The 14,830-nt window shown below is 39.9% G+C and overlaps 1 long non-coding RNA gene across 1 annotated transcript in view; it reads right to left on the reverse strand.

Moving 5' to 3' along the window:
- CD101-AS1 (CD101 antisense RNA 1) overlaps positions 1–14,830 on the reverse strand; it is a 34,009-nt gene that overhangs the window by 11,663 nt on the left and 7,516 nt on the right. Inside the window, exon 2 of the long non-coding RNA NR_110786.1 lies at positions 13,023–13,190. This is a non-coding gene — a long non-coding RNA (CD101 antisense RNA 1). The remainder of the gene's footprint in view (positions 1–13,022; positions 13,191–14,830) is intronic.

Here is a 14,830-nt window from a genome sequence, read left to right on the forward strand (position 1 = left end):
CCAGGGCCTATGGGCCAAATGCAGCCCACCATCTGTTTGTTTTTTAAAATACAATATACTGGAATATGGTCACTCCCATTCGCTTACATACTGTCTGTGGCTGCTTTCACGATAAAAATGGCAAAGTTGTGTAGTTGCCACAGAGACCATAGGACCTACATTGCCTAAAATGTTTATTATTCTGGCCCTTTACAGAAAACATTTGCCAGCCCTGCTGTCCTTTAATGTTCTGTCTCTCTTAGCCATGTATTATGTCCCTGGGAAACTGATTTGACCTCTTATATCTGAATCTCTTCTATATCTGATTAATCTAATAAATAATCTTAGGTTTTCAGGATTGGCATCTAGTCCCAGCCATTCTGAAGTTTGACTCCGCTGTACCGGCCTCACACTATAGATGGGAAGTTTATCACCCTGCAACGTTTCACGCCATCATACTGAGTACCTACTCTGTGCAAGATAAGATGACACAGGGATGATTAAGGCATGGTTGCTGTTAATTATTTTTATTGTATTGAGATGTATAGAAAAAACCGATTTATGGCAGAAGATGAATGCAATGGTATAAAGTCATGTGCCATAATAATTTCTTACAATCGTACAGGATTTTTTTCATTATCTCAGAATTTTACAGCATCTCTATACAAAAGGAATTGTTATTCCTGTCCTACAGGTAAGGAATTATAGCTCAGAGAGGTTGGGATTTATCCAGGATCACCCAGCCATATGCAGAAGAGTAAAAGCTCAAACTTAGGTCTGCTGACAAGTCCTGGACTCTTTCCACAATAAACACTCTTTCCACAATAAACACAAAAAATATGCTCAAATCCATTGCTATGGGGGAAAATCTGGATATAATAATAGCCACTTTGAGTGGTTGTTATGGTGATCAAATCAGATACATCAATGGAGATAAGTTTTAAAACCACATCAAGTCATAAATGAATGTCAGCATTAACCCAAGTTTTTCTAGGACTTAACCTGTCCGTGTACATAAATAAAATGTAATCAATAGTAATAATCCAAATTCTACAGGCTTTCCCTCCCAGAATATTTACACAGGGTCTTGGCCATCTACAGTGTCCTTTAGCTATTTCTGGGGGATTTCCCAAAACTGGAAATTTTTTTTTAAAGAGATGAGGTCTCACTAGATTGCTCAAGCTGGCATTGAGCTCCTGAGCTCAAGTAATCCTCCTGCAAGAGCCTCCCAAGTAGCTGGGTCTACAAGTACACACCACCACATCTGGCCCGGATTCTGTGAATTCACATGAGCTCACAAGCAAGTCCATTCCCATGTGGTTCCCTGCAGCTCCGTTGGGCTCTGCGGGCTCCCACCGCAGCTGGCATGCCAGAGCACATGAGATGCCAAGCTGAGTCGTGTTCAGTGATAAGCAGTGAAAAGGGACTCTTTCTCTGTCTTTACATTACACTCTTCTGTAAGGATACAAATTCAAGATTGTTTGCACCCGTGTCTCTAAAGATTCTCTTGTGAAAACTGTTCCATTAGCATTTGCCCAGTATCTCCTTTCTCCAGAGTCCAGACACCAGCAAGTCTGCGGCCAGGCTGGGAAAGACTTCATGCTATTCTCTCCATTTCCCATTGCCTGTTCCCAGCAGCCTCTGCACTAACCTCCTCATCACAGGTCCTCTTTTCCTCCAGCAGGAAGGTTATGCAATTGTGCTGTTGGGGAGCTCTACCACTTGGCAGACAGAGCCTGAGAAGTCTGCATTCCCTGTAGGCTCAGGTGGGAATTCTGTCAAACTGGCTATTAATTTTTACTCCTAATAAAGTGCTACAGGCATTTAGAAATCAGAGACAACTTCATAAAGAAGATGTAAGTTGAACTGGGCTTTAAAAATAAGAAAATATTTTGACAGGAAAAGGGTTAAGCAGAGGTCTGGACAGAGGAAGCCCCATGAAAAGTGCAGTGCTTACAATAGCTTTGGGTTAAGTGTCAGATCTATGAAGGGGAGCAATGGGAGATAAATCTGGAAAAGTAGTTAGAGCAAAATTCTGGGGTTGGGGAAGGACAGAAGAACAGATCTTGAACATGGATAATATCTTGGACTTCATGTGGTGGACAATAGTGAGCCAGTGAATGTAATGTAGTAGGGAAGGAGAATTGAAAAGCAACAGCATAGATGATAGGTGGGGTTGGAGTGAGGATGGCAGTGGTACAAAGGTGAGGCAGGGAAGCCAGCTGGAAAACCATCTTCACTCTCTTAATTTGTGTAATGGCTATCACACCAATTTTGTGAGCATTTTGAGTATAGAAAAAAATTATCAGAAAGTTTCAAGTATCAAGCTCATAGAGGTAGCTCCTGTATATTAAACACAATGACACATGATGAGACTCTTCTTGTGTCTAATAAATGCTCGTTAACCTAGTTTTCTACTGATAAGTTTAGAGATAAGAGACAGTTCCATCCATTCATTATATTAACTGGCTTTCCATTTTTTAAAAAATTTATTCACCTTTACATTTAATTTACTTGTTAGAAATTTGGAGTTTCTACCATATTGTCTCTTAATCCAAGGCTCCTTCTGAACCAGCTCTGACTGCCAAATAGAGATGTTTTGAGTTGAAGCATAATTATCACATTAAGCCATTTACCGAGACGAGAGACTATATTGGATGAGGACAGTGATTAAGAAGTTTCTATGGTATAAATAACCAGCATAGGAAAATCCAAATTTATTACTCCTATAAGGTCACATTGTCAAGGGAACCGAGAGGGTGTGTGCTTCCATTTTAAACTGGCTTTTCAACAATAGGATTCTTGGTGGACTTATCTCACCCTAGTCCCTTTCTGGGTACCTTGTGCTCCAGCCACACCAAATTACTTGCCAGGTAATTACTCCCCAGGTGTCTACCAAACATGCCCCTGATTTTGTGTCTTTCATTTGGAAAATTTCTCCTTTTTTGTGATCCTGTTCATCCCACTCAATTGACTTCAATATGTGTTTATTGCTAAGGGTGTCCACATAACATACCAGGGAAAATCAATACTGTTTGTTCTTTCGTTTGCATCTTCTGGGCTGGATCATGTTCATATAGAGAGTTGTGATGCAAACCAAGATCTCAGAAAGCTCCCTACCCCATCTCATGCCCTTTGGTAATTATAAGATTTTGAGCTCCCATAATCTTATCTTGGTTCCTCTCTCCCAAAACCACACTCTGCTGGGAGGTGTTTCTTGGTGGCCTGATGTGCACACGTGGCACACAAATACATTGGAAAGACAAAGTAATATGGAAGCTACTGTATGCCACTGGTGCAAGTTTAAAGCCTGCTACCTTTTGCCTTTTATTATTTACATAGGTACTTCTTCAGTGTGAGGGGTTTTCAACATTTTCCTCATGATAACAGTCATTATTGAGAGGCTCAGGCCAATAAAACAAATACATACGATGACAATAGCAATAAATGTTCTTTGATGACACGCATATGTATATATGCAGTGAGTTTCTAATCAAAACTTCTATCAGTAATAGTTATTTGGGTACAATAATACTATAGACCAGGGATCATAAACTTAGATGTTTCAGCATCTAAGGTACGTAAATGAAGAGAAAGTATCGGTCTGGAGGAAATCCTTAGGGAGGGATGAAGATTAGAGCAATTGGAGCATGCATATCTATTGAAAGGCACTTAAGTTCAACATAAGATATAAGATATTGTGCAAGGTAATCAAAACACTTTTAGGGGTGGAATTCTGTTCCTTGTAATCCCTGCATCACATCCTAAAGCCATCAATAAATGCTAAAACTCTGCCACCAAAATAGCATCTGAAGGTTATGCCTATATCTTAAAATTGTGAGTTATTGGCCTATGGTTTCTTCTAAAAGCTTCATTGTCTTACCATTTAAAAATAGGTCTAAAATACATGTCAAATTGATTTTTATATAAAGTAATTTTTGTATAAAATGTGAGGTAGAATTCTCGTGCACTGCTGATGGGAATCATTCTGTTTTCCATAGCACTGGCAGAGCAGCTGCTATGGAAAACAGAATGGCACTTCCTCAAAAATTAAAAATAGAATTACCATATGAGCCAGAAATTTTACTTCTGGGTATATACCCAGAATAATTCAAAGTAGGGGCAAGAAGAGATATTTGTATACCCCTGTTCATAGCAGCATTATTCACTAAAGCCAAAGGTGGGTGGAAGAAAGCCAGTGTGCATCAATGGATAAATGGATGGATAAAGAAAATATGGTACATGAAAAATAATACAATATTAGTCATCTTTAATAAGATAATAAATTCTGACACATGCTATTGACATGGATGAACCTTGAAGATATTATGCTAAGTGAATGAGCCAGTCACAAAATGGCAAATGCTATATGATTCTACTCATATGAGGTACCTAAACCAGTCCAATTTATAGAGACAGAAACTAGAATAGTTGTTGCTGGGCCTGAGGGAGGGGTGATAGGGAATGATTGTTTAATGATTTACAGAGTTTTAATTTGGGAAGATGAAAAAACTTCTGGAGCTGGATTGTGGTGACGGCTGCACAGCAATGTGATTGAACTTAATACCACTGAGATGAGCATATAAAAATGGTTAAAATGGTAAATTTTATGTTATATATTTTACCACATTATAAAAGTGAGATAAAGATCACGGTTTAATTTGCTCCATATGATTATCCCATTGCTCCAGTACCATATTTTTAAAAAGAGCATTCTTTCCCCACTGTAGTGGTTTTATGTATTGTTCAAGAAATCTTTGCCCATCCACAATAGTCTGCAGTAATACATTAAATCACAACCAATCATGATTTAATAACAATTTACTACTGAGCATGATTTCTTACAGGGAATGCAAGGTTGGTTTAACATTTAAAATTTAATCTATGTAAATCACTACATTAACACTTGATCATCTCAACAGATCAAGAAAAAAGAATTTAATAACATTCAACACTTCTTTTTTTTTTTTTTTTTTTTTTGAGACAGACTCTTGCTCTGTCACCCGTCACCCAGGCTGGAGTGCAGTAGCATGATCTCGGCTCACTGCAACCTTTGCCTCCTGGGTTCAAGGGAGGATTCTTGTGCCTTAGCCACTCGAGTAGCTGGGATTACAGGTGTGTGTCACCACGCCTGACTAACATTCATATTTTTAGTAGAGATGGGATTTTGCCATGTTGGCCAGGCTGGTCTCAAACTCCTAGCCTCAAGTGATCCACCTGTCTTGGCCTCCCAAAGTGTTGGGATTATACGTGTGAGCCACCACACCCAGCCTTAACACTTATTCTTAATAATATTTCTCAGTAAACTAGTAACAGAGGGGAATTTTCTAAAATTGATAAAGTATATAATAATTAATGGTGGAATATTAAATTATTTCCCCCATAGTTAGGAATAAGATGATAACATCAACTATCACTCTCTGTTGAATATTATACTGGAGGTCGTAGCCAATGCAAAAAAACAAGACAAATAAATATAAGGTAAAAGGATTAGAACAGAAGTTAAACTCTTTATTTGCAGGTGACTTGATTATATTTGTAGAAAATCCAAAAGTGTCTCCAAACAGGGTTGCTGAATACATGATGAACATGTTGATCAAAAATGAGCAAAAATGCACTAATTTTTGTATATTAAAAATCAAAAATTGAAAAATTAATTTGAAAATTACATTTAATAGAAAATATTAAATGCATTGGAATAAATTTAACAAAAGATGTGCAAAAACTCTACATTGAAAATTACAATACTTTGCTGAGATAAAGAAGACCTAACTAAATAGAGATTCCATTTTCATGGATTGGAAGGTTCAATATCATTAAGTTGTCAGTTTTCTCCAAGTTGATCTATAGATTTGATGCAGTTGTTATCCATGGGGAGGGAGTGGCAATTTTGCTCCCAGAGGACATCTGGCAATTTGTGGAGACATTTTGGCATGTCTTTACAACTTGAGAAGTGCTACTGGCATCCAGTGAGTGAAGACCAGGTCTAGTACTGAACATCCTACAATAAACAGCACAGCGGCTCTCCCTAACAACAAAGAATTGTCTGGCCCCAAATTTCAATAGTGCCAGGTTGAGAAACTGTGGTTTAATGGAATCATAATGCAAATCTCAAGTGTTTTTTAGAAACTGACAAGCTCATTTAGTGTTAAATGGAAATACAAATTATCTAGAATCGACAAAACAATATTTAAGAATCAAAACTTGGAGGAATTATATTCTCAGAGTCCAGAACATTCTACAAACTATAATAAGTAAGACCATGTGGAATAGGTGCACAAGTAAACAAGGAAACCTAAGAAGCAGAATAGAGTTTAGAAATACATATACACACACACATTTCCATTATAGGTGCTACTATAGTGGGGAAAGGATGCTCTTTCTAATATATGGTGCTAGAGTAATTGGATACTCATATGGGGGGAAAACAAACCTTGACATCTATCTCATGTAATAGGATAAGAGAAAAAAAATAGAAAAATTGGACATCATTAAAATTAAACTTTTTGTTCATTAAAAGACAATATTAAGAAAGTGATGGCTGGACGTGGTGGCTCATGCTTGTAATCCCAGCACTGTGGGAGGCTAAGGTGGGAGGATCACTTGAGCCCAGCAGTTCAAGACAAGCCTGGGTAACATAGTGAGACATCTTTTCTACCAAAAAAAAATTAAAAAATTTTAAAAGCCAGGCTTGGTAGTATGTTCCAGCAGTCCAGCTCCTTGGGAGGCTGACATGGGAGGATTGCTTGAGCCCAGAAGGTAGAGGCTGCAGTGAGCTGTCATCATGCCACTGCATTCCAGTATGGGTGACAGAGAGAGACTCTGTCTCCAAAAATAGTAATTATATCACAGACTGGGAGAATGATATTCATAAAACATATCTGACAAAGGCTTATATCCAGAATATATACCAAACTTTTATAAATCAATTTTAAAAGAGGAGAAGCACATAACTCAATTAAAAAAATGGCCAAAAGATTTAAATATGGTTTGAAAAAGACAGAAAAAAGACTTGAACATGGATCTCAGAATCGCCAATAAGCATACTGTTAGTTCAGGTGCTTTGAGAAGCACATGCCAAGATTAGACATGAAAGGGATCTACTGGGGGCAATGCCAGTGAAGAAAAAAGGCGATGGAGCAGAAGAGGGGAAGAGCCCTTGACTGTCCTGCAGGTCTGACTTCTGTGAAAGGAAACAGGGAAGGAAGGAGGATTTATATAAGAAGGTCTTCAGATTGCACAGCAGTTCTGAGATAATCTGGCTCAAGCTGATAAGGAGTCTCTGAGCAAAGGTTGCTTATTGAAGAAGTACTCCATGGGGCAGACATTGCCCAGCTCTAGTAACTCTGCCATGCTTAGTCCTTGGCAGGGAGCAGCCCAAGGGAAATGTGGCCTTAGCATAAATATTTGAAGATCTGGATGCTGGAGGTTGTCAATTAGCTATGCTCTTTGCAGCAGGCTCCCTTGAAAGGAGATATGAGTGGTACAGCTCCATGGCCACAGCGTATGAAAGATGTTCAATGTCATTACTCATGAGAAAAATGCAAATTAAAACAGTGAGATAACTTTATTCATATACCAGGATAGAAAATATAAAAGACTGACAATAGCAAACACTGGTAAGAATGTGGAGCAACTAGAAATCTAATGCATTGCAGGTGGGAGGGTAAATGTATTCAACTATTTTGTAAAATAGTTTGGTAGTTTCTAATAAAGCTAAATATATACCTACTTTATGACCTACAATTCCACTACTACCATTTTCCCAAGAGAAATAAATGCTTATGTCCACCAAATGACATATACAAGAACATTCATAGCTTTATTCATTATTGCTAAAAACTAGAAACAATCCCCTTGTTTATCGATAGGTGAATGAATAAATTATAGTTTGTACATATCATAGAATACTACACAGTAATAAAAATGAACAAACTACTGACATAATGACAGCATGAATGAATCTCACAGCATTTGTTGAGTAAAAGAAGACAGACACAAAAAGGTACAAAATTCAAGAACCAGCAAAACTAATCTATGGTGACAGAAGTCAGAATAAGGATTTCACTGGCAGAGGAAGTATTAGCTGAGAAGTAGCATGAAGGAACCTTCTGGGGTAATTGAAATGTTGTTTTTTTGACCTAGGTTGTGGTTTCATGGGTGTATACATATGTAAAAATTCATTGAGCTGTCTTTAAGATTTGAGCATTTTTTGTATGCACATAACTTAATAACATATAACTTGTTAATAATAATACATAACTTTATGTAAATAATTTAAACCTGAGGGTTTTTTGTAAAGCATTTTTCTTTCAAAAAGTAGTTGAGAACCAAACAGATGACCAATATAGAATGAGGAATTTTAATATAGATGGGAAATTGTAAGATTTATGTATTCAACAAGCATTTTTCTGGTACTTAGTATGTGCCAAAACATATGTTAGGAGGTAGGCAGGCAGAAATGACTGACATTGTTTCTTCCTTCAACAAAGAAAGGATAAAGGAGTTAAGGTTTACTTTATTGAGCTGCCATCACATGTTACAAGGATTGAATCCTTACAACAATATTGTCAAGAAGCCAAGATTAAACCATTGTATTCATCAGGGTTCTCCAGAGAAACAGAAACAATAGAATATTGTTAGGCTATGTATAGATATATAAGAGGAGATTTATTCTGGGAATTGTCTCACACAATTATGGAGGCCAAGAAGCCCCACGATATGCCATCTGCATGCTGGAGAACCAAGACAGCTGGTGGTGTAATTCAGTCTGTCTGAAGGCCTGAGAACCAGGCGAGCTGATGATGTAACTCCCAGTCTGAGGCAGAAAGTCTGAGAACTGAGTGGGGAGGGGATGTAAGTCCTGGAGCCTGAAGGTCCAAGAGCAAAGAGCTCCAAAGGCAGCAGAAAGAAGATGGATGTCCCAGAACAAGAACAAAGAGAGAATTTGCCCTTTCTCTATCTTTTTGTTCTATTTAGGCCCTCAACAAACTGGAGGATGTCGTCTCCACATCAGTGAGGTATCCTCACTGATATATCCAAAAATAATATTTTACCAGCTATCTGGGCATTCCCTAGCCCAGTCAAATTGACACATAAAGTCAGCCATCATAACCATAAATCAGGAAAAAGCAGTTAAATATCATGATCATTAAGTGGCATTAAAGATCATGATCATTAAGCCCAGATGCTTTGATTCCAGAAGCAATGGTCTTTCTATCACAGTAGCCTCCTCAAGTCATAAAGATTCTACCGTTTCATTATGGGCAAAGATCTGTACACACAAGGTCATGAGAGGACCACTGGGACAGAAAACGATAATATGTGCTTGTGTTGTCACAGATCTCTAAGTGCTAGCATGTTCTGAAAGGGGGAGATAAATTTGGACTTCAGGAGCAGGGACCCCTTTGCACTCTTTGCCCTCGTTCTGACAGATTTCCATTCAGCCCAACACATGTTGATTGAATGGCCACTCTGTGCTGCCTTCTGATGCTGTTCAAATAGACATATAAGAGCATGTTTTGTTATGGTCTCCCCTGACTGAAGGCAGATGCTACAAGTTCTTAAGTCTGTCTTTAGGGAATCTTTGTATTGTTTAATGGTCTGTCTGACAGCAGCTATTTGTACCACTCTGCTGGCAGCAGGAAATTGAGGGTTCTTCTGTTCTTAATGCCCAAGATGTGACCAGCCCAATAAACGGGTGCTGATGGCAGAAGGGCCCGTATTCTCTAAGCACGGGCCAAATACCTTCTAGCCCTAAAATTGACAAATGGGGCTGCTGTGTGGAAAACAAACAAACAAAAAACATTGAAGCAAAACATTGAGTGGTGTTACAGGAGTCTAAAGTGGCTGGGCTTAGCTTCAATATCAAATAAAGGTTACTGGCTCAGCCCAACATCAGCTCCTAACACACACAGGTGTCCAAATATTTCCCTTGAAATTCTTTTATTGATTGAGGAAAGGCATTCAGTTAGGATTAAATGTGGATCATTCAAATGCAGTAAACCAGTAGATTTTCCACCTGGCAACAGAAGGCTCAATGGCAACTCCGTATTTAATAGTAGTCTTTCCATACAAAAGAAACAGTAAATATATGAGCCCTCATCTATCGATGAGATGAAATTGAAGCCACTAACTACTATCTCTTACATTCCTCTACTTAGATTTTTTTGCTTCTTTTAGATGGTGTGCCCAATGAATACATCCAAAAAATTAATACTCAGGAATGTGTGCTCTGGATTCAGACTGCCTGGGTTCAAGCTCTGACGATGTCACCCACTAGCTGTGTGATCTTTGCTGGTTAATCTTGCTTTGCCTCAATTTCCTCATCCATAAAATGGGGATAATACCCATTACTTCACAGAGTTGATTGTGAGGATTAAATGAGATATACATGTGAGGGAGTCAGAACTCATAAATGTTAGGTGTCATCATCATTCTTAACAAGCTAGCCATTCCTGAAAAGGAAACGAGATACTTGCATTTTACTTCTTAATTCTTAGCACACTAGTAGAACAGGATGTGGAAATAGAATGCAAGCATGGGTTTTGCCACGAAATAGGATCATTGCTTGGGTTCTTAGCTCAAAAGGATAATTTAAGGGATAGGTAAGTATAAAGTTTCAGAAGTCAGGATATCAAGGCAGTGTGAACAGAGGAGCATGTGGATAGAATTATCTGAGTGCTTTACAGTTAAATGCAAAGCCAGGGTAGTTTAACCCAAGAGTTCCAAGTAAAGATATGTAATATATGGGAATTAATGAGAAATGGCATCACCAGAGACTCCTATTCTGAGGTACATTGTACCTATATTAATTACCTGTTTCAATTTACATGTAGATTTGAGTGCAAATGGCACATTTGGAAAACAACTATTATGGCAGATAGCAAATAATTAGTTTGGAATCTGTATTAGTCTGCTTGGGCTGCCATAACAAAATACCACCGATGGGGTGGCTGAAATAACAGATACTCATTTTCTCACAGTTCTGTAGGCTGGAAGTCCCAGTCAAAGTGCCAGATGATGTGGATTTTGGTGAGGACTCTCTTTCTGGCTTGTAGACAAGCCACCTTCTCACTGTGTAGTCACATGGCATGACAAAGAAGGCAAACTCTCTGGTCTCTTCTTAGAAGGGCACTAATACCATCATGACCCATCCTCATGACCTCATCTAAACCTAATTATCTCCCAAAGGCCCCATCTTCAAATACCAACACACTGGGGGCTGGGACTTCAATATGTGAATTATGGGAAACATCATTCAGACTATAGCCAAATTGACAGCATAATTAATGAACTGGACTGTGGCTTGTCCTGTACCTATCCAAGGTGTGCACTCTTCATGTCTGTTAACATAGTTCAGATGGAGTAAGTTATCTGAGTGCTACAGGTTTGGTATTTTTTACTGTGCATGTGTACACTTGGGTAGGATTACAACTTAAGAGCAAAACCAGTCAAGTGAACTGAGTAGAATTTCCCCACCTGCCACTTAGCAATGCTCCAGCTCTTCCATCAGAAATAGGTGATCACTGAAGTGTCAGAAACAGTGTCATCATGAAAGAGTGTAAAGATGGAAAGGGATTGCTTAAACATGCATGCAGAGCTCTGGGTGGGAATACAGAAACCCTTGACACCTCCTCCTCTGCAGCTGATCATTAATGCTGTTTCTGTCTGCCCTGAACTCAAGGAGAAATGTGGAGGGTCGAGCAGGGAGGATAGTGGGGAAAGCAGGAGAAGAAGAGAAACAGAGAGAAGAAACAGTGACAATTAGCACATAAGAGTGAGAAGGCAGAAATAAAAGCCAACAAACTACAGAGAAAAAAGAATTGACCAGCTTCTGCCCCATCCAGCTCTGCTCTGAGGCTCAAGTGGGTCTCTCGGATCCACCGTGCCAGCAGTGCTTGCAGCTCCCGAAGAAACTGCTGACCCAGAGAAGGAAGAAGGCTGAGTGCTTGCAGGAAGAAACCCTTCAGACACCAGGGGAGGCAGCAAGCCCCACCACACTGAGGCAAGGCCTGTCTCTGTGGTACAGCAGACAGGAGAAGTCCTGTCTTACTGTGTGTGGAAACAGGTGTGTGGGCTTCCGCTTAGAGTTAGGTGGAAGTTCAGTCTGCAAGGGAGGGTGAGAAAGTACTAAAGAGGAACAGAAGAGCTGGGAAGAGCTAGATCTTTTGAAGGGGATGTCTGCTTCTGCACCACGTGACAGTGGAGGATGCCTTGGATCTTCATCAAAAGAGGTAACTTCCTCTTCTCCTTGAGAGACGCAGCAAATCCCTCACTTACAACTTAGAACCTTCCTAGCTTTCATCCAAATGCATGTAAACCTTGAGAGAGCACCAAGAGGGAGAGAAAGGAGGCGACAGATTCTATAAGAAGTGAGACATGACAGTGTTGTGAGACAAATTGACGTAGGAGATGGTGGTGTGACTGAATCACTAGCCTAGTGTGAGGCGAGGGCCTCTGTTCTGAAGAGCCACCCCACTGAGGCCTCTGGGCTGCTTCCTGTGCTGCTCACCAAGAAAATGCCATGCCATGCTAGGCGCGGTGGCTCACGCCTGTAATCCCAGCACTTTGGGAGGCCGAGGCGGGCGAATCACCTGAGGTCAGGAGTTCGAGACCAGCCTGGCCAACACAGTGAAACCCCATCTCTACTAAAAATACAAAAATTGACCGGGAGTGGTGACGCACGCTTGTAATCCCAGCTACTCAGGAGGCTGAGGCGGGAGAATCGCTTGAACCCAGGAGGCAGAGGTTGCAGTGAGCCGAGATGGTGCCATTGCACTCCAGCCTGGGTGACAGAGCGAGATTCTGTCTCAAAAAAAAAAAAGAAAAGAAAGAAAGAAAATGACATGCCAAGTTAAACTCACTTCCTTTTCTGATGTGCTGCTTTCTGCTAGGCTGGTAAGTCATGGGACAGCTATAGATTCCGCATGCATGAACTGCAGCAAGGCCTTTGAACAAGAGGAACAACGTGGACACTATGTGACTCCATGCTTGGGTGAATGATCATACCCAAGGTGTAAAGACCATGGCAACGTGTTTACCTGTAGGAGATCTCTCCAGGTCTTGCTAAAGCACTCTGCCTTGTTGAGCATTTTTATTGGCAACTTGGATGAAGGGAAAGACAGCAGGCTTGTCAAGTTGACACAGAATTAGGAGATGGCACTAATAAGTCAGTTGACAGGAACAAGATTCAAAGAGATCTGGATAACCTAGAATAATGAATCAAAATTAACATGAAATATAGAATCCATAGTTAAGTTTAGGCAATTAGATGCACCAGATAGGGGAGATGAGCTCACGCATGAAAAATGAAAACAGTGTTTTGGTTGATTGCACACTTGATATATATTATTAGCATAACATACTTATTGAAAAAACAGAGAAAAAGATTTAGAGTTTTCCATTTCATATATAAAATGGTCATATCCAAAATAAAGGAGATAATTATCCCACGGCATTTTTCATATTGAATTTTCTTTGGGATGCCTCAAATTAAGCATACATTCATCAAAAAATACTGGCGAAACCCCATCTCTACTAAAAATACAAAAATTAGCCAGGTGTGGTGGCATGTGCCTGTAATTCCAGCTACTCGGGAGGCTGAGGCAGGAGAATCGCTTGAACCCAGGAGGCAGAGGTTGCAGTGAGCTGAGATCGTGCCACTGCACTCCAGCCTGGGCAAAAGAGTGAGACTCTGTCTCAAAAAAGAAAAAGCAAAATACTGGTGAGGGGGTGTCGGAGGGAGAAAAGTAATTGATGCAGTTGGACAAGTTTCTCTGGGCAAAGAGAATGCATGTGAAGTGCAGAGAGGATGAAATAGTCATATTCATATATTTTAAAGTGATGTAAAAATGGATCAGGTGTATTTTGTTTAATTCCACATGACAAGAAAGTGGAAGTTTCAGACAGAAAGATTTCTGCTCAATATGCATTAGAATTAACTAACATTTCGACACACCCAAACAGAACTTGCTATAACCAGAAGTTTCTATGCTGAATCCATTAGGGATGCTGTGGAAGGGATTTGGGAGGATGCATTAGGTGGCTTTAGGGTTCCTTCTACCCTATGATTTCATCCATTCCATTTAACAGATACTTATGGAATGTTTACATGCTGTGTATACAGTGATTAGTGAGCCAAACAGAAATAAGTCCCTGCTTTCTTGGCAATTACACATATAGTCCATGGAGAAGACAGACGATAAACAAGTCAACAGACAACTCTGAAATAAATGTTATGTGGAAAGCAAACCGGATACTGAGAGAGAACAAGGAAGAACCTTTGTAGATAAAGTAGTCAGGGCAAGTCTCACTGAGATGGTGCTTGCTGAGACCTACAGGATGAAGGGCTAAGTTTTTAAAGAACTGAGGAAAGCATTCCAGGCAGAAAGCACAATATGAATGCAGGCCTTAGGGTAATACAAAGCTTGGCACACTGAGGAACAGAAAACAGGTTAGGGCGGCTGCAATATAATGGGTGAGGAGTGGCGTGGCTGTCTGTGAGAGTGAAAGCAGGAAGGGCCAAACCGTGCAGCGCCCGTAGGAACCAAAAGGATGACTTAACCTTTTTCTCTAAGTTTAACAGAAAGTCACTGAAGAGTTATAGGCAAAGTAACAGAACCTGACTCATGTTTTAAAAGGTTGATGAGTTCTTTAAGGCCATTTTAGTACTAAAAAATAGCAGCAAAAACCAGAGGCTGCTCTGCTCTGGCTCCCAGGTTAACTCAGAAAGGAAAAGGAGGGAGAACCAGGAAGAACTCTGCCAGAGTTTTCTCAGCTACTAAGATCCCAGCATCCAAGGAGGCTTAAAAACTTCATGGCAAAAGTCTTCAGAGCATTGGGTAGTATT

Source organism: Homo sapiens, chromosome 1 (assembly GCF_000001405.40).
Source record: "Homo sapiens chromosome 1, GRCh38.p14 Primary Assembly".
Taxonomy (NCBI): Eukaryota; Metazoa; Chordata; class Mammalia; order Primates; family Hominidae; genus Homo; species Homo sapiens.